The sequence below is a fragment of the Homo sapiens genome, chromosome 8, assembly GCF_000001405.40.
Source record: "Homo sapiens chromosome 8, GRCh38.p14 Primary Assembly".
NCBI classification, from domain to species: Eukaryota; Metazoa; Chordata; class Mammalia; order Primates; family Hominidae; genus Homo; species Homo sapiens.
Window position 1 is genome coordinate 30,229,467 of NC_000008.11, and position 27,008 is coordinate 30,256,474.

The 27,008-nt window shown below is 45.3% G+C and overlaps 1 long non-coding RNA gene and 2 pseudogenes across 1 annotated transcript, besides 1 other annotated feature; 1 reads left to right on the top strand and 2 right to left on the bottom strand.

Annotated features, from left to right (window-relative positions):
- On the bottom strand, positions 1–25,168 carry LOC124901928 (uncharacterized). Its single transcript, XR_007060881.1, has 2 exons — positions 25,016–25,168; positions 1–200 (listed from the first exon to the last, which is right to left on the bottom strand). It is a non-coding gene; the product is annotated as an uncharacterized LOC124901928 (long non-coding RNA).
- HSPA8P11 (heat shock protein family A (Hsp70) member 8 pseudogene 11) lies at positions 7,820–9,923 on the top strand (annotated as a pseudogene).
- Positions 19,271–20,470: an enhancer, noted in NCBI's record as "P300/CBP strongly-dependent group 1 enhancer chr8:30106253-30107452 (GRCh37/hg19 assembly coordinates)". NCBI's record gives its function as "activates an origin of replication core promoter dependent on BRD2, BRD4, P300/CBP, MED14 and CDK7 cofactors, with strong dependence on P300/CBP, by STARR-seq in HCT116 cells {active_cell/tissue: HCT116}" and the evidence as "EXISTENCE:reporter gene assay evidence [ECO:0000049][PMID:35650434]".
- TAGLN2P2 (transgelin 2 pseudogene 2) lies at positions 20,034–20,703 on the bottom strand (annotated as a pseudogene).
- Positions 25,169–27,008: the final 1,840 nt, after the last annotated feature.

Below are 27,008 nucleotides of genomic sequence, written 5' to 3' on the forward strand. Positions count from 1 at the left end.
TCAGAGGTTTAAAGAATCTGAAATTAATTTATTTCTCAAGCAAAAGGCCAGGGGTGGGTGGTCCAGACTGGTCGGGCTACTCAGCTCCATCGGGTCAGTCGGGGCCATGGCTTCCTCCCATCCCCTTGGCTCACAGTTCCTAGGATGTTGTCTTTGGCTGCATGGTCAAAGCTGAGTCATAACCTCATCCATGCTTCACCCTGGAGAAGGGAAAGAGAAAAAGTGGAGGGCATGCAATTTGGCTTTTAAGCAAGAAACACAGAAGTCACACCTAGCACTTCTATTCACATTCTAGGGCATGGACCTAGTCCTATGGCCACATCTAGCTGCAAGGAAGGCTGGGAAATGTAGCCTTTTGCTAGGCAGTGATGAGCCTAGTTAGAAATGTGGGGCAGCCTGGGCAACATAGCAAGACTCCGTCTCTGCAAAAATAAAGAAATGGACAAATTAGCTGGACATGGTGGTGGTATACACCTATAGTCCCAGCTACTCAGGAGGCTGAGGCAAGAGGATTGTTTGAGCCCAAGAGTTTAAAGCTGCAGTGAGCTATGATGGCACTACTACACCCAAGCCTGTGTGACAGAGCAAGACCCTCTCAAATAAAATAAAACATAAAATAAAAGTGGGGCAACTAGCAGTCTAGTCAGAAAGCATCTCTCTCTTTCACACCTCACTTTATTTTTAATTGACTTGTGAAACAACTTTGTATCTTCTAGAGTTGCCATCAGTTGCAATTGCATAGTTTAGAAATGCCAGTTCATAGAAATTTCTGGTGAGTAGAATGTCCTGTAGCAGTTTACTGTGCACATTTCATGTTAATGAGACATCTATTACTTCCCCCTCAGGGATAACAAGTGTTATCACAATGGCAATTAAGCGGATAAAATTCCAGTAAAATGAAACTTAGTATCAAGTTGTTGTCTACTCAAGAGAATGCAACATTTAAGTCAGCTGTTGAAGCACGCATAGAAGCTAACCAAGCAGAAAAGAGGGAAGAAAATTCCAGAGTGTGAACAGCATGTGCAGAGACCTGTAGTCCTGTGGGAGACAAGGTATGTTCATTGTGTGGAGTGGGTATGTGTGTAGGGAAGGCAGGTGAGAGAGAAAACGGGGTGGAGTCAGGTTGTACCAGGCCTTATACATCAAACTAAGGAAGCTGGATTTTACCCTGCAGAGTAGATGCTTTGGGGGTTGCATTAGTCCGTTCTCACACTGCTATAAACATACCACCTGAGACTTGGTAATTTATAAACAAAAGAGCTTTAATTGACTCACAGTTCCATCTGGCTGGGAAAACCTCAGGAAACTTACAGTCATGGTGGAAGGAGAAGGAGAAGCAAGTACCTTCTTCACAAGGTGGCAGCAGAGAGAGTGCAGGGGAAACTGCCACTTATAAACCATCAAATCTTGTGAGAACTCACTATCATGAGAATAGCACGGGGGAAACTGCTCCCATGCTCCAATCACCTACCACCAGGTCCCTCTATCGACACGCGGGGATTACAATTCAAGATGAGATTTAGGTGGGGACACAGAGCCAAACCATATCAGGGGGTCCTTCCCAGTCCAAGAGCCATGACCCTGTCCAAAAATTCTGTCACTCCATGGGTTGGGGTCCAGGTAGCCAGTTGATAGATGTTTTTGTTGTTGTTGTTGCTGTTGTTGTTTGAGATGGAGTCTCACTCTTGCCCAGGCTAGAGTCCAGTGACACCATCTCAGCTCACTGCATCCTCTGTCTTCTGGGTTCAAGCGATTATCCTGCCTCAGCCTCCCGGGTAGCTGGGATTACAGGCGCCCACCATCAAGCCTGGCTGATTTTTCTAATTTAGTAGAGACGGGGTTTCACCATGTTGGCCAGGTTGGTCTTGAATTCCTGACCTCAGGTGATCCACCCACCTTAGCCTCCCAAAGTTCTGGGATTACAGGCATAAACCACCCTGCTCAGCCCCTAGTTGATAGTATTTGACCCTCACTGTCTTGCTCATAGTTAACTGACAGTTCCAGGGATAAATACCTGACCCAGGACAGGCAAATCTGATCCTTCCTCTCAGGAATCTGAAAATGGGATTGAAACCACTGCTTATTGCCGACCTGTGTCTAGAACAATAACAAATACACTGGAAACTGCGGGGCAGCCTTAAAAGCTATATAAGTGCAGAATCGGACAAAGCTGGTCTGCAGGGGGACAGACAACCAAAGCAGGTGTGCAGAGCAAAGCAGGGATGAGAGTCAAGAAAGGCATATGTGGGTTTCCACCCAGTCTCCAATTCTTAGTTCCTTTTCCTCCCTGAGGCTGGGCAGCATTTTCCACTACTTGGGTTGCATAGTACCCCTTTATTGCCCTCTTTTCTTTTTTCCTTCAAATAGCTTGAGTAATAAATTATTTACAGCATGGGCTAAACTGCTGCTGTTGCCCAAAAGACCCCCAAATATAGCTCCAACAGGATAGTTTACCTATTATATCTATAGGCAGGCAGTCCAGGGAGGTTGGGGGCTCTGAGGCACTAGGACATCCAGGGAACCAGGCTTTTTCTGTCTCTGTTTCCCAGCAGTCCATGCCTTAAGGTATTGCTTTTCTCTGCAAGATCAAAGCTAGATCCCAGCACCACACCTACACACCAGGGAGGAATATGCTCAGGATTTAGAAGGGCAAGACTCAGAAATGGTATACACCACTTCTGCACTTCTGCTCACAACTCATTGGCCAGAACTGAATAATAACCCCACCTAGCTGCAAGACAGTCTGGGAATATAGCTCTCAGTTGGGCAGCTGAAATCCTATCCTATGGAAGAAGGAGAGAACAGATAACGAACAATTCACTGTCTGCCTGATGGTTTCTGTAAATTGCATTGCACCCAAAGAACCCCAACTTGAGCTCTGTGTAGCTTTTCTTGACCGCTTCAAGCTGAGCTGATGTCTCCCTTTTCTGTACGTGGTTCTTAGCCCGTATCACTGCACTGTATTCATCTGTTTGTTGATTAGTTGATTGGGTTTTTGTTGTCGTCTTTTTTTTGTTTTTTGTGTTTTTTTGAGATGGGGTCTTGCTCTGTCTTCCAGGCTAGAATGCAGTGGCACAATCACAACTCACTGCAGTCTCATCCTCTGAGGTTCAAACAATCCTCCCACCTCAACCTCCCAAGTAGCTGGGACTACAGGCATGTGCCACCATGCCCAGCTAATTAAAAAAAAATTTTTTTAGTAGAGACGAGGCCTCCCTATGTTGTCCAGCCTCGTGTCTAATTCCTGGGGTCAAGCAATCCTCCTGCCTAGGCCTCCCAAAGTGTTGGCATTATAGGCATGAGCCACCGTGCCTTGCCTCATTCATCTGTTAATTTATCTATATAGAAGAGACAGTTAGTGATCTCTAGTTTCTGCTCCTTCCCTCTTCCTTGGTAGCTAAGTCCCCCTCCCCCAAGTGTTATGTTTGGCACATTGCTAAATGGAATAAAGCTGACATTCGCCAGGCTCCCTTACTGCGAGGTATGGTAATATGATTCAGTTCTGGGCTGGGCGCAGTGGCTCACACCTGTAATCCCAGCACTTTGGGAGGCCAAGGCTTGAGCCCAGGAGTCTGAGATCAGCCAGGGCAACACAGTGAGACCCTGCCTCTGCAAAAATGACAAAATAGCTGGGTGTGGTGGCACAGCCTGTAGTCCCAGCTGCTCAGGAGGCTGGAGTGGGAGGATCATTGAGCCTGGGAAGTCGAAGCTTTGGTAAGCCATGATTGTGCCACTGCACTCCAGCCTGGGTGACAGAATGAGACTCCATCTCAGAAAAAATAATAAAGTTCTGGCCAGTGAGATGACAGCTTCCAGGAAACCCTATAAAAGATAGCTGGCATGCACCCTTTGTCAATTCTTTCTCTCTTCCACATTTCTCTTGGTTGGAATAGCAGCTATGGCAGCTGCCTAAGACCATGAGATATCTTGGGAGTGGAAGCCATACATGTTAGAGCAACAAGACAGAAGTCTTGGTTCACAACACTGTGGTGTGCCATAATATCTCTGGTATACTACATACATTATTTCTGAGAGAGAAAGAAACTATTTTATTTTGGGGGGATCTCCTTTACTCCCAGCCAAACCTAATCCTTATCCTACAACCTGTGTCCTTGAAATTTTCCAATGGACTACAAGCCCTGGAGAGCAAGGACTGATTCTTGTTCATCTGTGCATGTCTGGTGCCCTTTCTTCAGATTATATCCATGGATACGAGGCAGATTTCACTTTGACCTAATCAGGTTGGTTCCCTTCCACAAATGGTCCACTAGACCTTCAGGGTAACACTATTAGGCTATTAGGCTTTGCCAGTCCACTCACATTCTTTCTTTTTCTTTCTTTCTTTTTTTTTGAGATGGAGTTTCGCTCTTGTTGCCCAGGCTGGAGTGCAATGGCGCGATCTCGGCTTACCACAACCTCTGCCTCCCAGGTTCAAGTGATTCTCCTGCCTCAGCCTCCCGGGTAGCTGGGATTACAGGCATGCACCACCATGCCCAGCTAATTTTGTATTTTTAGTAGAGACAAGGTTTCTCCATGGTGGTCAGGCTGGTCTCGAACTCCCAACCTCAGCTGATCCTCCTGCCTCGGCCTCCCAAAGTGCTGGGATTACAAGTGTGAGCCACCGAACCCAGCCCAACTCACTTTCTTACTCATGCAAGCATGATTTCAGGCCCACTCTATTCTGCTCAGATCCTCTCACTCTCAGGCGGACCTACCTGCTAAGATTCAGAGAAATCAAAGTGTTTAAGCCAATGGTTGCCTCTTCTTCCCGACACCAACTGAAAGGCTCACTTTTTCCTCTCCTTGCCTCTTGTTGTAGCAGGGGTTGCTGTTCCTCCCATCAAAGGTGAGGCTCTCATTCCTGCCTTGCATCTTGGCCAAGAGTCTTTGGTAGGAACATAGAACTGTCTATCATCCCTTCACTCTCCTGTCTCTATCTCCAGCTCTTTCAGATCTTTTCTACTGATTCCATAGTATGCACAAGTCATGTTCAATAAGAACAAAACAACACACACACACATACACACACACACACACACACACACACACACACACACACAGCCTTAACACGTCATCTCCACTCGTATCCCCTTTGCAACTAATCCTCTCCAAAGAGTGGTCCATACACTCTGTCCCATGGCCTCATTTCCTTTTCATTCTTCATCCCAATCAGCGTCATCACCCAAGACGTGCCTGTTGCTAATGTCAGCAGACGTGTTTCCATCCTCTTCTTTCCCTCTCAGCGGTGGTGAATCATGTTAGTTGCCATGCCTTGGCTTCCGGTGGACCTGGCCTCTTCCCCTCTTCCTCATACCTTTGCAGAGCCTTTTTCTTCTGCTCAGTTATTCAAATAATGGTTGGCCAGAAGACACTAGATGCAGTCTTTCTCACTCTATCCTCTTCCCTACCTGACCTCCTCCTGTGGCTAATTTTTGTATTTTTAGTAGAGACAGGGTACCTTTTTTTTTTTTAATCCAGAGGAAGGGAATTGTAACACCTGTTTCACGGGGTTGTTGTGAGGATTAAATGATATCTACACAATGTGCCCAACAGAGTTCCCTGTGCATAAAATTGCACATCACATACTCAGATACTCTTAGTCCCTTCTTCTTCCTGTAACCAAGAGGAACCAACCACCGGTGAACCACAAGACAGAGAATTCCTGACCCGGTCCTCAGCCACAGTCTGCCTGTACTTCCTGCTCTCTGGGTTTTCTTGGTGTTTACCTGCTGCGTGGTGGTCAAGGATGACGTCCTTTTGATAACCCATGCTCTTTGTCTTACTCCTTTCTCAGTAAAAACAGAAAAGGTTACATGAATAAGAAATAGGACATCGAGGCCAGGCACAGTGGCTCACGCTTGTAATCCCAGCACATTGGGAGGCCAAGGAGAGTGGATTATTTGAGGTCAGGAGTTCGAGCATGGCAAACATGGTAAAACCCTATCTCTACTAAAAATACAAAAATTAGCCAGGCGTAGTGGCAGGTGCCTGTAATCCCAGCGACTCGGGAGTCTAAAGCAGGAGAATCACTTGAGCCTGGGAGGTGAAGATTGCAGTGAGCCGAGATCGCACCACTGCACTCTCCAATATGGATGACAGAGTGAGTCCCTGTCTCAATAAAAAATAAAAAATAAAAAAAAGGCACATCGAGGGGTGGGGCTAGGCGAATTCTAAGACTGTCATCAATTACTTTCAAACAAGGCAACTTGGCTGAGTGCAGTGGCTCACGTCTGTAATCCCAGCACTTTGGGAGGCTGAGGCAGGCAGATAACATGAGGTCAGGAGTTCGAGACCAGCCTGGACAACATGGTAAAACCCCATCTCTACTAAAAATACAAAAATTAGCTGAGCAAGGTGGTAGATGCCTGTAATCCTAGCTATTTGGGAGGCTGAGGTGAGAGAATGGCTTGAGCCCGGGAGGCGGAGATTGCAGTGAGGTGAGATCATGCCACTGCACTCCAGCCTGGGCGATAGAGTGAGACTCTGTCTCAAAAAAAAAAAAAAAGAAAACTTAATCATTCCATTTTTATGTGATGCCTCACTAAGCACAGTGCCTGAGACTACAGACTGGGACAGACAATGAAAATAAGCAAAGGGTGGAAAACACATTTTCTGATGCCTCCAACCTACCCGCCTAAGGAAGTCTTACTAGACACAGTGGTTCTCAATCTTATCAGTCCCAACTCCCCTAAATATATAAATATACTTTTATAGTATACAAATATGATAAATACACTATGTTTATTATCATCCTTGATATATAAATTTTATTTTTAATTTTTAATTTTTTTGAGACAGATTTTCACTGTTGTTGCCCAGGCAGGAGTATAGTGGCGCCATCTCGGCTCACTGCAACCTCCACCTCCCAGGTTCAATCGATTCTCCTGCCTCAACCTCCTGAGTAGCTGGGATTACAGGTGTCCACCACCATGCCCAACTAATTTTTGTATTTTTAACCTCCTGAGTAGCTGGGATTACAGATGTCCACCATCATGCCCAGCTAATTTTTGTATTTTTAGTAGAGAAGGGATTTCACCATGTTGGCCAGGCTGGTCTCGAACTCCTGACCTCAGGTGATCCACCTGCCTTGGCCTCTCAAAGTGCTGGAATTAATAGGCATGAGCCACTGTGCCCAGCCAAAATAAAAATTTTAAGTCAGTATATTTACTTTTGATAGGTATTGACTGGGCAGGACATGAGGGAGCCTTCGAGGGTGCTGAGAATGGATGTGTGTTGATGTGAGTGTTGGCTACATGACTACATTCCTACATAAAAAGCCATTGAAACCCAGGCATGGTGGCGTATAACTATAGTCCCAGCTTACTCAGGCAGCTGAGGCACAGGATGAGGATCACTTGAGCCCAGGGGTTCAAGTCCAGCCCGGGCAACATAGTAAGACCCTCATCTCTCTAAAAAAAATACCTCCTTGAACAAGGGATCTCTCTGTATTTGTTTTTGCAGCTGTATATGAATCTACAATTATCTCCAGAAAAATCTAAATCAAAAATTAGATGTGGCTGACCGCGGTGGCTTACACCTGTAATCCCAGCATTTTGGGAGGCTGAGGCGGGCGGATCACCTGAGGTCAGGAGTTCGAGACCAGCCTATCAACATGGCGAAACCCCGTCCCTACTAAAAATACAAAAAATTACCCGGGTGTGGTGGCGGGTGCCTGTAATCCCAGCTACTTAGGAGGCTGAGCAGGAGAACTGCTTGAACCCAGGAGGCGGAGGTTGCAGTGAGCCAAGATAATGCTGGTGCACTCCAGTCTGGGCAACAAGAGTGAAACTCCGTCTCAAAAAAAAAAAAAAAGATGCAGCTCATGGAACGTGCCTGCAGCTCTTGGGGTTCCTGCAGCTCTTGGGGTTTCTGTGTCTTTTTTCACTGTCCGAGCTGGACCTACGCAGCAGCAACCATGTCTGAGGGACCTACAGTTGGTATTGATCTTGGCACCACCTACTCTCATGTGGGTGTTTTCCAACACGGAAAAGTAGAGACAATTGCCAATGATCAGGGAAGCCAAACTACTCCAAGCTATGTCGCCTTTACAGACACCAAATGATTGGTTGGTGATGCCACAAAGAATCAAGTTGCAGTGAACCCCACCAACACAGTTTTCAGTGCCAAATGTCTGATTGGATGCAGATCTCATGATGCTGTTGTCCAGTGTGATATAAAGCAATGGCCCTTCATGGTGGTGAATGATGCTGGCAGGCCCAAGGTCCAAGGAGGAGACAGCGGAGAGACAAAAAGCTTCTACCCAGAGGACGAGATGTCTTCTATGGTTCTAACAAAGATGAAGGACATTGCAGAAGCTGATCTTGGGAAAACAGTTACCGATGCTGTGGTCACAGTGCCAGCTGACTTTAATGACTCTCAGCGTCAGGCTACCAAAGATGCTGGAACTATTGCTGGTCTCAATGTACTTAGAATTATCGATGAGACAACTGCAGGTGCTATTGCTTATGGCTTAGACAGAGAAAGGTTGGAGCTGAAATAATTATGCTGATCTTTGACCTGGGAGGTGGCACTTTTGATGTATCAATCCTCACTATTGAGAATGGGATCTTTGACATCAAATCTACAGCTGGAACGCCAGGCACTGTGGCTCATGCCTATAATCCCAGCACTTTGGGAGGCCGAGGTAGGCAGATCACTTGAGGTCAGGAGTTCAAGACCAGCCTGGCCAAAGTGGTGAAATCCCATCTCTACTAAAAAACAAATACAAAAAGTAGCCAGGTGTGGTGGTGTGCACCTGTAATCCCAGCCACGTGGAAGGCTGAGGCAGGAGAATCACTTGAACCCAGGAGGTAGAGGTTGCAGTGAGCCAAGATCGTGCCACTGCACTCCAGCCTGGGCAACAGAGCAAGACTCCATCTCAAAAAAAAAAAAAAAAATCTACACCCAGAGAACTCACTTGGGTGGAGAAGACTTTGACAACCAAATAGTCAACCATCTTATTGCTGAGTTCAAGCGCAAGCATAAGAAGGATGTCAGTGAGGCTGGGCATGGTGGCTCCCACCTGTAATCCCAGCACTTTGGGAGGCCGAGGAGGGCGGATCCCAAGGTCAGGGGTTTGAGATCAGCCTGGCCAACATGGTGAAACCCCATCTCTACTAAAAATACAAAAGTTAGCTGGGTGTGGTGGCATGTGCCTGTAGTCCCAGCTACTTGGGAGGCTGAGGCAGGAGAATCGCTTGAACCCGGGAGGTGGAGCTTGCAGTGAGCTAACACCACTGCACTCCGGTCTGGGCAACAGACCAAGACTCCATCTCAAAAAAAAAAAAAAAGAAGGATGTCAGTGAGAACAAAAGAGCTATCTCACACCATCATATGGTTTGTGAATGTGGTAAGTATACTCTCTCTTCCAGCACCCAGGCCGGTATCGAGATTGATTCTCTCTATGAAGAAATCGACTTCTATACCTCCATTACCAATGCCTGATTTGAAGAACTGACCTGAAGAACTGACTTGCTCCATGGCACCATCGACCCCGTAGAGAAAGCCCTTCGAGACACCAAACTAGACAAGTCACAGACTCATGATATTGTCCTGGTTGGTGGTTCTACTCATATCCCCAACCTTCAGAAGCTTCTCCAAGACTTCTTCAATGGAAAAGAACTGAATAGGAGCATCCACCCTGATGAAGCTGTTGCTTATGGCACAGCTGTCCAGGCAGCCCTCCTATCTGGAGACAAGTCTGAAAATGTTCCAGATTTGCTTCTGTTGGATGCCACTCCTCTTTCCTTGGTATTGAAACTGATGACGGAGTCACGACTGTCCTCATTAAGCACAATACTACCATTTTTACCAAGCAGACACAGAATTTCACTGCCTATTTTGACAACCAGCCTGGTGTGCTTATTCAGGTTTATAGAGATGAGCATTCCATGACCAAGGATTACAACCTGTTTGGCAAGTTTTGGGGTTTTTAATTTTTTTTTTTTATGAAGAAAAGATGTTTATTTTGGCTCATGGTTCTGCAGGCTGTACAGGAAGTGTGGCGCAAACCTCTCGCTTATGGCATGAGCCTTAGGGAGCTTACAATCATGGTGGAAGGTGAAGGGGAGCAGTGTATCACATGGCAAGAGAGTGAAGAGGAAGATCCCAGACTCTTAAATAATGAGATCTCGCATCAACTAACTGAGCAAGAACTCACTCATCGCCATGGGAATGGTGCTAAGCCATTCATGAGGGATCCGTCCTCATGATCAAATCACCTCCCACCAGGTCCCAGCTTCACCTCTGGAAATCAAATTTCAACATGACGTTTGGAGATAGAAAACATCCAAACCACATCACAAGGTCTCTAGATGGCTTTTCTCCCTGAAAAAGCTATTTCCATTTCTAAGTGTGATATATAAAAGAAACATAAAGGAAAGAATTTTGAAATGCATTTTCATCTTATTTTATCACAAATTTATTGAGATATTATTCACATACAATAAACATCATTCTTTTAACGCATACAATTTGATGTGTTTTGGTATATACACAGTGATATACAACTATCACTGTTTTCTAATATTACAATAGTTTGGCCGGGCACGGTGGCTCATACCTGTAATCCCAACACTTTGAGAGGCTGAGGCAGGAGGATCACTTCAGATCAGGAATTCAAGACCAGCCTGGTCATCATTGTGAAACCCCATCTCTACCAAAAATACAAAAATTAGCCAGGCATGGTGCTGTGCACCTGTAGTCCCAGCTACTCGGGAGGCTGAGGCAGGAGAATGGCTTGAACGCAGGAGGCAGAAACAGAGGTTTCAGTGAGCCGAGATCATGCCACTGCACTCCAGCCTGGGAAACAAGAGCAAAACTCTGTCTCAAAAACAAACAAACAAAAAACAACAACAAAAATATTATAATAGTTTGATCAACCTGAAAAGAAATCCCATATCCACTAGCCATCATTCTCCATTCACTTATTCCTCCCTCTAGAAAGCATCAATCTACTTTCTGTCTCTATGGATTGGCAAGTTTGAACTCACAGGCCTACTTCCTGCACTCCACTGTTCCTCAGATCGAAGTCACTTTTGACATTGATGCCAATGGCATCCTCAGTGTCTCTGCTGTGGACAAGAGTAGAAAAAGAGAGCACGATTACTGTCATTAATGACAAGAGCCATTTGGACAAGGAAGATATTGAGCTATGGCCCAGGAAGCTGAGAAGTGCAAAGCTGAAGATGAGAAGCAGAGGGACAAGGTGTCACCCAAGAATTCACTTGAGTCCCATGCATTCAACATGAAAGCACTGTTGAAGATGAGAAACTTCAAGGCAAGATGAACAATGCAGACAAGCAGAAGATTCTTGACAAGTGTAATGAAATTATCAACAGAATCAGACCGCAGTGAAGGAAGAATGTGAACATCAGCAGAAAGAGCTGGAGATAGTCTGCAACCCCATCATTACCAAGCTGTACCAGAGTGCAGAAGGCATACCAGGAGGAATGCCTGGGGGATACCCTGGTAGTGGAGCTCCTCCCTCTGTCAATGCTTCCTCAGGGCCTACCATTGAAGAAGTTAATTAAGCCAACCCAAGAAAAGATGTAGCATTGTTCCACACAGTGAAAATATGGAAGGACTTAAATTTGTAGCAAATTCTGTGGCAGCTTTTAAAGTTCAGCTGCTATAGTAAATTACTGGGCATTCTCAATACTTGAATATGGAACATGTGCACAAGGGAAGGAAATAACATTGCACTTTATAAGCACTGTATTGTAAGTGGAAAATGCAATGTCTTAAATAAAACTGTGTTTAATATTGGAAAAAAATGAGATGCAGGTGATTGTTATGTTAGATGTAATTTACCCTAATTTTTTAAAAAATGAGATGAAATTCACACCCATCAGATTGGCAGACATGGAGAAGTTTAATAATACTCAACTTGGCAAGAATGGACAAAAGGGAAATTCTTAAACACTTTAGGAGCATAAGTGAGTAAATTACTATGGAGAACAACTCAGAATTACCTAGTAAGATTGGAAATGCAAATGTTCTATAAGCCAGAAATTCCAGTTCTAATAAACTATTGTGAAACACTCCCACATATGAACAAGGATATTTGTATGAGACATTCTTTGGAATATTGTTAGTAAGCGTACAAAATTGAAAACAAAGTGTTCATCAGTGTCTCCTTTTATTAAAAAATGTTTAATTAAAAACTTTTAAAATTAAAAATATTTCCCCTTATTAAAAAAAAAGTAAGTAGTGTGTAAATATCAATGTGGAACAGGAAATGTGAATGGCAATGTCTAATTTGATTCCACGGTTTGAGGAACTGTGCATTGCTCAACAGGCACACATACCATTAGTAAGTAATTGTGGTTGTTTAAGAATAAAATTACAATTTTATTTTTCCTATTTAAAAAGTCACATTTCCATGCTGCCTGCCAAAACTTAACAGATAACGTACTAGGTCATTAACACATCCTTGTCTATTTGAAAACCTCCAGACAAACAAGCAGATGAGCCTTGGAGCTTTGGCAATGGGAATTATTGCTTAGCTAGTAATAAACAGTGTTCTCAGAACTCAAAGATACTAAGGAGGGCACAGCCTTGAGGAGCCAAGGGTGATTGTTGGAAAATACCAATGCAACATTCAAGACACAGGAAGTTAAGAAGTGATTCAGGGTGCAGCACACCAACATGGCACATGTATACATATGTAACAAACCTGCATGTTGTGCACAGGTACCATAGAGCTTAAAGTATAATAAAAAAAAATGTGATTTTTGATTTAAAAAAAAAAAAGAAGTGATTCACATGAACCAAGACCACACCATTGCACTCTAGCCTGGGGCACAAGAGGAAAACTCTGTCTCAAAAAAAAAAGAAGGTGATGCAAGACACTGATGTGACTATGGAACCCCTGTGGAACCCAGAATAGAATCCATCTATGGGGCAATGTGGTAGCCATCCCCCAGTAATCCCAGCCTCCTGGTATTCACGCCCTTGTGTAGTCCCCTCCCACAGTGAATCAGAGTTGGCTCTGTGTGGCCAATAAAATATGGTAGAAATGATGGCATGTGGCTGTCAAGGCTAGATCATAAATGGTATTGCTGATTCCACCTTGGTATCTTGGATTATTTGCTCTGTGGGAATCTATCTACCATATTGTCAGCACACTCAGAGAAACCCAGGGAGAGCCCCGTGGAGAAAGGATCTGAGGCCCCCAACCACCAGCCAGCACCAACTTGCCAGCCATGTGAACCACACTGAAGGTAAATCCTCCAGCCCCAGTGAAGCCTGCAGATAACTGCAGTCCCAGCCAACATCTGACTCCAACCTGATGAGCGACTCTGAGCCAGAACCACCAACTCAGCTTCTCTTGAATTCCTGACCAATAGAAACTGTGAGATAATAAATGAGTACTATTACTTTGAAAAAATTCCTTGAGCTATACACTGAAGATTTGGGTACTTCAGCATATATGTTATGCTTCAATAAAAAATTATAAAATTTAATAATTATTTAATGCAGAAAATAAATGTAATGTCCTAATTGTTATATAAAAGATACATAAAATAAAGACAATTTATGAAAGATACTTTAATATAAAAATGCTTGGCCACTACAACTCCAGAAGACCCAAGAAGGAGCTTAAGGCTCACATCTTAAAAATCATCTTGGGCCATGTGCAGTGGCTCCCACCTGTAATCCCAGCACTTTGGGAGGCTGAGGCAGGTGGATCACCTGAGGTCAGGAGTTCGAGACCAGCCTGGCCAACATGGTAAAACCCCGTCTCTACTAAATATAACAAAAATTAACTGGGCGTGGTGACAGTCATCTGTGATCCCAGTGACTCAGGAGGCTGAGGCAGGAGAATTGCTTGAACCAAAGAGTCGGAGGTTGCAGTGAGCCGAAATTGTGTCATTGTACTCCAGCCTGGGCAACAAGAGTGAAACTCTGTCTCAAAAAAAAAAAAAAAAAAAAAAAAAAAAAACTTCATATATATGCTTTATGGTACTAATGCAGGCTGAGACAAGTGTATTGAACTGGTGACTTGACTACTATAAGCAGTGCTGCCATTAGTGACTTGATTTTCCAAAACAGTAAATGTGGCAGATTATATTTTCCACAAATGGTCACAGAAACATTTGTGGTCCCACCTGCAATTCCGGAGCTTTGCCACTCCCCACTTGAAATTGGGTGGACTTGTGTGACTGCCTAAACAAGGTAAAAGACTAGGTCAAAAAAGGTAATATGGTGCCAGTAAACTTTCAGTGTCCTTTAGGGGGGCCAGACATTACACTTACTAGACAAAAACTTTAAATCAGCTACTAAAAATATGTTCAAAGAACTAATATGTCTAAAGAACTAAAGGAAAGCATGAAAACAATGTGTCACCATATGTACAACATCAATTATGACATAGAAATTATATTAAAAAGAGAACCAGATAGAAATCCTGAAGTTGAAAAGTACAAAAACTGAAATAAAAAATTCATTAGAGGGGTACAACAGCAAACTTGAAGATAGGTCAATTGAGATCATCCAATCTGAGGAATAGAAAGAAAATAAATGAATAAAAATAAACAAGAGACTCAGAGATCTTTGAGCCACCATCAAGCATATCAGCTTATACATAATGGGAGTCCCAGAAGAGAGGAGAGAGAGAATGGGGCATAATTAACATCTTAAATAATAATGACCTACAACTTCACAAGTTTGATGGAAAACATTAATATACACATCCAGAACCTCACCAAAATCCAAGTAAGATAAACTCAAAGAGATCAACACCTAAAAACATCCTAATCCAACTGTTAAAGAGGGAATCTTGAAAGCAGCAAGAGAGAAGTGCCTTGTCACATACAGTAAGGCCTCAATAAGATTAACAGAGAATGTCTCATCAGAAATCATGGAGACCAGAAGGCACTGGGGTGACATATGAAGTGCCGAAATTAAAAAGTACTGTCAGTCAATAATTCTATATCCAGTAAAGCTATTCTTTAAAGGTGAAGGAGAAATAAAGACATTCACTGGTTAAAAACAAAAAACTGTGGGTCAGGCATGGTGGTTCATGCTTGTAATCTCAACACTTTGGAAGGATGAGGCAGGGGGATCACTTGAGCACCAGAGTTTGAAGTTGCAGTGACCTATGATTACACCACTGCACTCCTGTCTGGGTGACTGAGTGAGATCCTGAACAAGTAAAAGGAAATAGACAGTAATTCTGACCTACACAAAGGAATAAAGCACTAGTAATGGTACCTCCTATATAGGTAAATGTAAAAGACATTATAAATTATTTTTATGTGTATATAAGTCTTTCCTTTTTCTACCCGATTTAAAAGATAACTGGATAAGCAATAATTATAAAACTGTATTGGGCTTATTCTGTATGACTATAATAGCACAAACTAGTGGTGAAGTAATAGAACTATATAGAAATGAAGCTCTTGTCTATTATTGAAATTAAGTTGGTATTAATTTAAAGTAGATGGTTATAAATTAAGATGTTAACTGTAATCACAAGGGCAACAGAGAAAATAAATAGAAAATATAGTAAAAGAAATGACAAGAGCTGGGTGTGGTGGCACACACTTATAGTCCCAGCTACTTGGAAGGCTGAGGTGGGAGGACTATTTGAGCCCAGGAATTCAAGTTTAACCTGGGCAACATTGCAAGATCCCATCTCTAAAAAAAGAAAGTTGGGAGGCTGAGGCGGGCGGATCACGAGGTCAGGAGTTTGAGACCAGCCTGACCAACATGGTGAAACCCCATCTCTACTAAAAATACAAAAATTAGCCAGGCCTGGTGGCACATGCCTGTAATCCTAGCTACTAAGGAGGCTGAGGCTGGAGAATCGCTTGAACTCGGCAGGCGGAGGTTGTAGAGAGCTGAGATGGTGCTGCTGTACTCCAGCCTGGGAGACAGAGCAAGAATCTGTCAAAAAAAAAAAAAAAAAGGAAAGAAAGAAAGAAAATGACAAGAGAATTAAAATGGTACATGAGAAAATATCTAACACAAAAGAGGGCAGTAATAAAGGAATAGAGGAACAATAAAATGCCATAAGACATATAGAAAACAAATAGCAAAATGGCAGATACAAATCCTACAATAATTACATTAAATATAAATTGATTAAACACTTCAATCAAAGGGAAATATTGGGAGAAGGATAAAAAAGACATGCTCAAACTGTATGCTGTCTAGGGGAGACTCACTTTATTTTTTATTTTTTGTATTTTTGAAACAGAGTTTCACTCTTGTTGCCCAGGCTGGAGTGCAATGGTGCAGTTGTCTTGCCTCAGCCTCTCAAGTAGCTGGGATTACAGGCGCCGCCACCATGCCAGGCTAAGTTTTGTATTTTTTTAGTAGAGACGGGATTTCGCCATGTTGACCAGGCTGGTCTTATACTTCTGACCTCAGGTGATCCACCTGCCTCGGCCTCCCAAAGTGCTGGAATTACAGACGTGAGCCACTGCACCTGGCCTGGAGTTCTTTTTTTTTTTTTTTTTTTTTTTTTTTTTATTGATCATTCTTGGGTGTTTCTCGCAGAGGGGGATTTGGCAGGGTCATAGGACAATAGTGGAGGGAAGGTCAGCAGATAAACAAGTGAACAAAGGTCTCTGGTTTTCCTAGGCAGAGGACCCTGCGGCCTTCCGCAGTGTTTGTGTCCCTGGGTACTTGAGATTAGGGAGTGGTGATGACTCTTAACGAGCATGCTGCCTTCAAGCATCTGTTTAACAAAGCACATCTTGCACCGCCCTTAATCCATTTAACCCTGAGTGGACACAGCACATGTTTCAGGGAGCACAGGGTTGGGGATAAGGTCACAGATCAACAGGATCCCAAGGCAGAAGAATTTTTCTTAGTACAGAACAAAATGAAAAGTCTCCCATGTCTACTTCTATCCACACAGACCCGGCAACCATCCGATTTCTCAATTTTTTCCCCACCCTTCCCGCCTTTCTATTCCACAAAACCGCCATTGTCATCATGGCTCATCCCCAATGAGCCGCTGGGCACACCTCCCAGACGGGGTCGTGGCCGGGCAGAGGGGCTCCTCACTTCCCAGTAGGGGCGGCCGGGCAGAAGCGCCCCTCACCTCCCGGATGGGGCGTCTGGCCGGGCGGGGGGCTGACCCCCCCACCACCCTCCCGGACGGGGCGGCTGGCCGGGCAGAGGGGCTCCTCACTTCCCAGTAGGGGCGGCCGGGCAGAGGCGCCCCTCACCTCCCGGACGGGGCGGCTGGCCAGGCGGGGGGCTGATCCCCCCACCTCCCTCCCGGACGGGGCGGCTGGCCGGGCAGAGGGGTCCTCACTTCCCAGTAGGGGCGGCCGGGCAGAGGCGCCCCTCACCTCCCGGACGGGGCGGCTGGCCGGGCGGGGGGCTGACCCCCCCACCTCCCTCCCGGACGGGGCGGCTGGCCGGGCAGAGGGGTCCTCACTTCCCAGTAGGGGCGGCCGGGCAGAGGCGCCCCTCACCTCCCGGACTGGGCGGCTGGCCGGGCGGGGGGCTGACCCCCCCACCTCCCTCCCGGACAGGGCGGCTGGCCGGGCAGAGGGGTCCTCACTTCCCAGTAGGGGCGGCCGGGCAGAGGAGCCCCTCACCTCCCGGACGGGGCGGCTGGCCGGGCGGGGGGCTGACCCCCCCCACCTCCCTCCCGGACGGGGTGGCTGCCGGGCGGAGACGCTCCTCACTTCCCAGACGGGGTGGCTGCCGGACGGAGGGGCTCCTCACTTCTCAGACGGGGCGGTTGCCAGGCAGAGGGTTTCCTCACTTCTCAGACGGGGCGGTCGGGCAGAGGCGCTCCTCACATCCCAGACAGGGCGGCGGGGCAGAGGTGCTCCCCACATCTCAGACGATGGGCGGCCGGGCAGAGACGCTCCTCACTTCCTAGATGGGATGGCGACCGGGAAGAGGCGCTCCTCGCTTCCTAGATGGGATGGCGGCCGGGCAGAGACACTCCTCACTTTCCAGACTGGGCAGCCAGGCAGAGGGGCTCCTCATATCCCAGACGATGGGCGGCCAGGCAGAGACGCTCCTCACTTCCCAGACGGGGTGGCGGCCGGGCAGAGGCTGCAATCTCGGCTCTTTGGGAGGCCAAGGCAGGCGGCTGGGAGGTGGAGGTTGTAGCGAGCCGAGATCACGCCACTGCACTCCAGCCTGGGCACCATCGAGCACTGAGTGAACGAGACTCCGTCTGCAATCCCGGCACCTCGGGAGGCCGAGGCTGGCGGATCACTCGCGGTTAGGAGCTGGAGACCAGCCCGGCCAACACAGCAAAACCCCGTCTCCACCAAAAAAAAACGAAAACCAGTCAGGCGTGGCGGCGCGCGCCTGCAATCGCAGGCACTCGGCAGGCTGAGGCAGGAGAATCAGGCAGGGAGGTTGCAGTGAGCCGAGATGGCAGCAGTACCGTCCAGCTTTGGCTCGGCATCAGAGGGAGACCGTGGAAGGAGACCGTGGAGAGGGAGAGGGAGAGGGACAGGGACAGGGACAGGGACAGGGACAGGGGAGTTCTTTATTTAAATCAACAAACTCATATTCCTCAAGCCCCAGACCATGGTAGGCAGCCCTCCTTTCTCTGTTCCCTCACCCCTACTCCCTAGCCACAGTGAGGGGAATGGAAAATGAGAAGCCACGAGGGCCTCTGCCAGGGAAGCCTACCCCAGATGTGTGGTGAGCACGGTGCAGCAGTGGCTGGGGTAGCAACCGCCACAAGCCCCTCCCTATAAATTAAGTCCCTGCAGCCACAGCTGTGGGAGAACTAAAAACCGCCTTTGCAAAATTATGACTGAGACAGTGAAAGAGATCTAACCTAACTGACTCCATATTGGTTCTACCTTTAAGCTGTCCTTGTTCCTTCCTGGGCAAAGGCCGAACTAACTTTGAGAGGAACTTAGTTTACAGCTTAAAACAAAGATGATAACAGCCCTTTCCCAAAACAAACCTCCTTCTTGCCTAGGGACTAGACTGCCTTTATAGGACTAACAAATTAGCCACAAGATTAGAAATTATGGTTTAGGAGTCATACAGCTGGAGGCTACAAGATTCTGACCCTCCCTAAACTGCTCCTAAAATCAGTGCTTAAGATATTTTGCCAACCCTGCACTTGATGGATCAGCTGGCACCACCCAGATCGATAAACTGGCTCATCTGATCTTGTGGCCCCCACCCAGGAACCGACTCAGCACAGGAATACATCTTCAACTTCCTGTGATTTCATCTCTGACCTGACTGATCAGCACTCACAGCTCACTGGCTTCCCCCGTCCCAGTAAGTTGTCCTTAAAAACTCTAATCCCCAGGCCTGGCGCAGTGGCCCACGCCTGTAATCCCAGCACTTTGGGAGGCTGAGACAGGCGGCTCACTTGAGGTCAGGAGTTCAAGACCAACCTGGCCAACATGGTGAAACCCCATCTCTACTAAAAATACAAAAACTAGCCAGGCATGGTGGTGGGCACCTGTAATCCCAGCGACTTGGGTGACTGAGGCACACGAATCAAGTGAGAATCACTTGAACCTGCGAGGCGGAGGTTACCTGAGACTGAGTTTCCCCGTCTCTACTAAAAATACAAAAATCAGCTGGGCATGGTGCCACGTGCCTGTAATCCCAGCTACTTGGGAGGCTGAGGCAGGAGAATCACTTGAACCTGGGAGGCAGAGGTTGCAGTGACCAGAGATCACGCCACTGCACTCCAGCCTGAGCGACAGAGCGAGACTCCATCTCAAAAAAAAAGGTGCAAGACTTTTAATTTCTTTAGGATTGGGAGGGCCTGGAAAAAAAAAAAAAAGATCCAGCTATGTTAATAGAGATTCTTTACAGATGCAAAATTTCCTCCCAAAAGGATAGCTTTGCAGGGCCATATGAAGATATGGCAAAGAAACATGTCTTGGGGTAAAATATTTTGATTTTCTTCCTTGTCTCGTAATGTTATTCCAGAGTCAGGTTGGAAAGTAAGTCACGATATACAGGGTTAAATAAAACCCATCTGATGAGAATTTATGGTTTGTAGGGCATGACTCCCCAGATAGGAATTTGGACAAGATTAAAAAAAAAAAATCAGGGCTTAGTCCTCAGATCAGAGGATCTAGCGTGACATCCCATAGCCGGTCATGCCAACCTGAGACACCCCGCAGTTGCTGCCCATCTGTACCTCAATCATGTTCCTGCCCTCTTGTAGCTGGTTGAGAAGTTCCAAGGATTCTCCTTGGGTTTCTTAGGGAACCATATGGGAGCCCCAGAGAAGAGCCCATCGTCCTGGGCTACTGCCAGCCCACCCAGGTTCATCAGGATCCACTGCACACAGGCCACGTTCTTTCCTCCCCAGGGATGCACAGTTTGGAGGATGTCTGTGGTGTTAATGCCATAGCGCACTCAGCTGCTTGCAGGCATTGAGATATCTGCTCCATCTGCTTTAAGGCCATGGTGGAGACCTGGGTCTTCTTTACTGGGGCCTGCCCCTCGGGGCACAGTGCGTTAATGAGCTCACATAGCTCTGTGCCCTCCTTGAGGAAATTCTGGAAGTTCTCATGTCCAAGCTGGGGCCAGCCCACATCCTTTTGGCACTGGGTGGTGATCCATTGATCTGCTCCAGGTCTGCGTCATATGGATTCTCAATTTTCTGCTGCACCTCCCGGCTCAGGCCACACGCAGGTACCTTGTTGGCCATTCCAATGGGTAGTGGCGGCTGTGGGGAGCATTCATGCAGGCTGGAGTGCCATGCATCAAGGCAGGGGCTGTAGCAGCTAAGGATATTATTGATATGTTGGTGTACGTCTCCTATTTTGTTTTCTGTTTCTCCCTGTTTTTGTCTTTCTGGCTTTTTTTTTTTTTTTTTTCTGTCTTCCTGTCGGTTATTTGAACATTTTTCAGATTTTCATTTTTTATTTATTATAGTGTTTTTAAGTATATATCTTTGATTAGCTTTTAGTGGCTGCTCTAGGTAGTTTATATATTAGGTTGGTGCAAAAGTAATTGTGGTTTTTGCCATTACTTTTTTTTTTTCATTCTCTAAAGCACAACTTTATTTTCAGAAAGGAAAGGACACCAAAAATAGGACTGTCCTGTGCAGATGTCCAATAGCCTTAGTGTGGGGACCAAATGCCCCCCGGCCATTGGAAAGACAGATCTTGTAAGTTCCATTCGTCCATGCCCTCAACCATTCATTCATTTTTACTGAGACAGACAAAGATAGAAGTTCCTGCCGTCATGTTTCAATGAAGGACATATTCGCCATTACTTTCAATGGCAAAAACCGCAATTACTTTTGCACCAACCTAATACATACTTGATCGTCATTTTATTAGTATATATAAAACAGGTTTTTTTGTTTTGTTTTGTTTTGTTTTGTTTTGTTTGTTTTGAGACAGAGGCTGCAGTGCAGCGGTGCGATCTTGGCTCACTGCAACTTCCACCTCCCGGGTTCAAGCGAGTCTCCTGCCTCAGCCTTCCAAGTAGCTGGGATTACAGGCATGCACCGCCGTGCCTGGCTAATTTTTTTGTATTTTTAGTAGAGATGGGGTATCACCATGTTGGTCAGGCTGGTCTGGAACTCCTGAACCAAAACAATCTGCCCACCCTGGCCTCCCAAAGTGCTGGGATTACAGGTGTAAGCCACTGCATCTGGCCAAAACCAGTTTTACTCAGAAACTTTTTTAAAAGAAAAATTCCTTCTTAAAAATAACAGAGAGATTCAGAACAAATGCTATACTGGACCAGATACTGGAAAAACAGAAGTTAGGTAAAACTAACCTGGACATTCTTAGCCCTTTGCCTGCCATTTCTCAGCTCCAAATCTGCCCTTGCATGCTCCTCTCTTTTATGCTGTGTCTGGGACGCTGCAATGTTCCTTTCACAGATTTCTTTGCTAGCTGCCTTCCTGCAAAGCTCTGTCAATAGCAGGCACTAGAGGAAGATTGGAAGGTAACAGAAAAGAAGAAGGGACATTCTTCTTTCAACTTGCTCTTTCAGCCAATGTTACCCCCAAAACAACACTTTACTTTACAAATAGTAGTTGGTTCCAGCTTCCAGCTACTTTGGGTGCTCCTTGAGAACCAACCTCATTGAGCCCTCTCAGAAATATCAATAGCAGCTGAGTGATGCTTTCTCTTCATAGACCCTCCTCCAAGTTTCTCGGTACTGGTGACTCCCAACCTCTTCCCTTTAGTTATTCCAGCACTACAAGAATTAGTTGCTCTCTGTAGCCCTCTAGGCTACCTCAGCATTGCTTTCTGCTCTTTCAGCTTTCTGACACCTGAAACAAATCCTCTATATTAAATCCCTGATAAGGTTTGGATCTGTGTCCTTACCCAAATCTCATCTCAAAACCTCGAATTGTAAACCCCACATGTTGAGGAAGGGCCCTGTAATCCCCACGTGTTGAGGGAGAGAAGTGATTGGATTATGCTGTTCTAGCGATAGTGAGTGAGTCTCACAAGATCTGATGGTTTTCAAAAGTGGCAGTTTTTGTCCTACACTCTCACTTCTCTCTCCTGCCGCCTTGTGAAGAAGGTCCTTGCCTCCCCTTCGCCTTCCATCGTGGTTGTAAGTTTCCTGAGGCCTCCCCAGCACTGTGGAACTGTGAGTCAATTAAACCTCTTTCCTTTATAAATTACCCAGTCTCAGGCATTTATTTATAGCAGTGTGAGAACAGGATAATACAATCCTTCTGGTGATTTTTATTTTTCTAATTGGACCCTGACTGGTGACATAGGGGAAGGGAAAGGGCAGGAAACTATATATATCTATATATATAGATATATGGAGTATATATAGATATATGGAGTGTATAGATATATGGAGTATATAGATATATGGATTATAGATATATGACGATTATATATATATATATATGTCTTCTGTATACCAAGTATACAAATAATAAATATCAATAATTTTATATGTTACTAGTAATAGCTGTGATTTATTGAGACCTAGTCTATGACTTTCCCTGGCTACTTTCTTCTCATGTTGTAAGTTTCTGCTTGAATTTAATCTCAGAGAGGTTTTCCCTGATCGCCTTATCAAAAGCAACTGCTATTCCCTGTTATTCTCTGCTTCAGCTCATAAACCTTGTCCTTTATAGTACACCAAAAAAAGCACAATCATTTGATTTTTCTGGTCTGTCTTCCCCACTAGAATGTGAGCTCCATGAGAGGGAGGCCCTTGCTGGTCTTGTTCACGGCTGTCTCCCTAAAGCCTAGCATAGTGCTTGGCTCATAGTAGGTATATGTGAGTATTTTTAAAATATTGGTGTGTCCATTATGTATTCTTGCTTAACAAGCCATCCTACAATGTAGTGGCTTGAAACAAAACAGTAATTTCTCATGATTTTGTGGTCTGGCTGTGTGGTTCTGGTCTTGTCTGGGCTCACTGAAGAAGCTGCATTCAGCTGGTGGATTGGCTGGAGCTAGAAGGTCCCAGAGGGCCTCACTTGGTGGGGACAGCTGGAAGACGGGGGCCCCTCTCTTTATGTAGGGTAGCCCAAATGTCTTTACATGGCATCTGAGTTCCAAGAGTGTAAGCCTCAATGTGCACATTTTTTTTTTTTTTTTTTCTTGAGACAGAGTCTGACTCTGTCACCCAGGCTGGAGTGCAGTGGTGCGATCTCGGCTCACTGCAACCTCCGTCTCCTGGGTTCAAGCGATTCTCCTGCCTCAGCCTCCCAAGTAGCTGGGACTGCAGATGCCTGGCCACCACGCCCAGCTAATTTTTGCATTTTTAGTAGAGACGGGGTTTCGCCATGTTGGCCAGGCTGAATGTGCAAATATTTATTTAGCTTCTGCCTGGGTCACAGTTATGTCTCATTAGCCAACAAGTCATATAACCAAGTCCAGAGTCAGTATGGGAGGAGGCTACCCAAGGGCATGAATACCAGGAATATCAGTAGGGAGCCATCAGTACAACAGTCTATAATTTTGTATACATCATTGCTAATACTGACAGCAGCCTGCCACATAGTTGCTATTTCTTTTTTTTTTTTTTAGACGAAGTCTTGCTCTATTGCCCAGGCTGGAGTGCAGTGACATGATCTCAGCTCACTGCAACCTATAACCTCCTGGGTTCAAGCGATTCTCCTGCCTCAGCCTCCTGAGTAGCTAGAATTACAGGCATGCACCACCATGCCCAGCTAATTTTTGTATTTTTAGTAGAGACGGGGTTTTGCCATGTTGGCCAGGCTGGTCTCGAACTCCTGGCCTCAAGTGATCCCCCCTGCCTTGGCCTCCCAAAGTGCTGGGGTTACAGGCTGAGTCACCATGCCCAGCCTATTGTCATCTCTTTTTTTTTTTTTTTTTTTTTTTTTGAGACGAAGTCTCGCTCTGTCACCCAGGCTGGAGTGCAGTGGCGCAATCTTGGCTCACTGCAAGCTCCGCCTCCCGGGTTCACGCCATTCTCCTGCCTCAGCCTCCTGAGTAGCTGGGACTACAGGTGCCCGCCACCACGCCCGGCTATTCTTTTGCATTTTTAGTAGAGATGGGGTTTCACCATGTTAGCCAGGATGGTCTCGATCTCCTGACCTTGTAATCTGCCCGCCTTAGCCTCCCAAAGTGCTGGGATTACAGGTGTGAAGCATCGCACCTGGCATCTGTCATCTCTTTTAACCCAGCAGTCCCCAGCATATTTGGCACCAGGGATCCATTTCATGGAAGACAATTTTTCCATGGACTGGGGGTGGCGAGGATGGTTGCAGGATGATTCAAGCACATTACATTTATTGTGCACTTTATTTATAACATTATTACATTGGAACATATAATAATTATACAACTCACCATAATGTAGAAACAGTGAGAGCCCTGAGCTTGCTTTCCTGTAACTAGACAGTCCCATCTGGGGATGATGGGAGACATCATCCAGTGACAGATCATCCAGCATTAGATACTCATAAGAGGTGTGTAAACTAGATCCCTTCCATGTGCAGTTCACAATAGGGTTCATGTTCCTATGATAATTGAATGCTACCACTGATCTGACAGGAGGTGGATGGAGCTCAGGCGGTAATGTAAGTGATGGGGAGCAGCTATAAATACAGATGAAACTTCTCTTGCTTGCCACTTACCTCTTCCTGTGTGGCCCAGTTCTTAACAGGCCATGGACCAGCACCAGTCCACGGCCCAGGGGTTGGGGACTCCTGTTTTAACAGACGAAGACTCTAAGATCCACAGAAGTCAAGTAACTTGTCAAAAGGTCATAGCAACTAAGTGGCAGAAAATTCTAATTTTGATTCCAAATTCTGTGACCTTTCACTGTATCACAATCTTCTGGGAAAACATGGGTAGAAAAAAGATGACAACTCAGGAGAGAACTTCAACCTATATTTTCATTTGAATGGGAAAACACAATAGGTTTTATTTTCCTTTGCATGTAGTGGAGAAGATGAGTGAGCCAGATGATATGGGCTAAAGTGATTTTAAAATACCTCAGCTGTCACGTTAGCCAAGCTGACTCATGCTCTCACTGGAAGTTCTACGGTTTCTCAGCTGTAGTCACACAATATTTCATACATAATTCTCAGTCATAGCTCTTACCTATGTACTATTTGCGGTTCACCGTTTATTATGAGCTCTTCCTGGTCTGTATCCACATTGCTTGTATATTGTCTGAAGCACAGCAGGATCTCAACAAATGTTTGTTAAATGAACGAATTAGCAGAGGTCAAGGAGGCCAAAGATGAAGTCTCTCACTGTTTGCCAGGGACCCTGAGGAGAATCAATAAATAACTAGGGAGTAAAGCATTAAATGGAATGAATCATGAATTGCGTATTTGCTGTGGTTTGAATGTCCCTGCCAAAACTCATGTTGAAAATTAATTGCCAGCTGGATGCAATGGCTCACTCCTGTAATCTCAGCACATTGGGAGGCTGAGACAGGAGGATTGCTTGAGCCCAGGAGTTGGAGACCCACGTGGGTAATATAGCAAGACCTGTCTCTATTTTTTTTAAATAAAATTAATTGCCATTGTAACAGTATTTAGAGGTGACACCTTTACATGGTGATTAGATCATGAGTGGATTAATGCTGTTATCATGGGAGTGGGTAAGTTATCTCAGGAGTGGGCTTCTGATAAAAAGATAAGTTTGGCCCCAATTCTCTGTCTCACATGCTCAATTCTGCCTTCTGCTTTTCACCATGGGATGGCCCTCACCAGATGCCAGTGCCATGCTTTTGGACTTTCCAGTCTCCAGAACCGTAAGCCAAATAAATTTTTATTCTTTGTAAACCACCCAGTCTGCGATATTCTGTTATAGCAGCAGAAAAGGGACTAAGTATTATTTGAAGAACAAGAAGTAGTTCATGGAAGCAGACATTTTGGTTAAACAAATAGGTCAGGCCAGACATGGTGGCTTATACCTGTAATCCCAGCATTTGGGAGGCCAAAGCAAAAAGATCACTTGAGGCCAGAAGTTTAAGTCCAGCCTAGGCAACATATTGAGATCCTGTATCTACAACTACAACAACAACAAAAGTCAAAATTTGTTAACAAAACTAGCTTAAAATTGACTAGTGCTGTTAATATCTTTGTCAATTTTTAATTTAGAAAATTTCTATTTCAACCAATTCTGCTTGTTTTTTTGTTTTGTTTTGTTGTTGTTGTTGTTGTTGTTTTTTAATCAACAATTTTGAAAGTCCACAGGGAAGATTCACACCCCATAGCCTTTCTTCCACTTGCTTGGTCTACCCCTTTCATCACTGATGTCGAGAATTTAAATTTTCTCTATAATTGGAAGGAAATTTCCTTGAAGAAACTTTGTTGAAAACCATTGGAGTTGACAGGTTTTGTTTCCAGAGATATTGAACTACAGAGGATTCTGACTCTGGTGATACTGTGCACAGTGGTGGATAGGAAAGAAGCAAACATTAAATTTAAAAATTAACTTAAAAAATTTAACAAAAATTCCCAGCACTTTGGGAGGCCGAGGTGTGCAGATCACTTGAGCTCAGGAATTTGAGACCAGCCTGGGCAACATGGCAAAACCCTGTCTTTACAAAAAACAATAGTAATACAAAACAAACAAAAATTTAACAGAAATTTACACACTGAATGTGACATC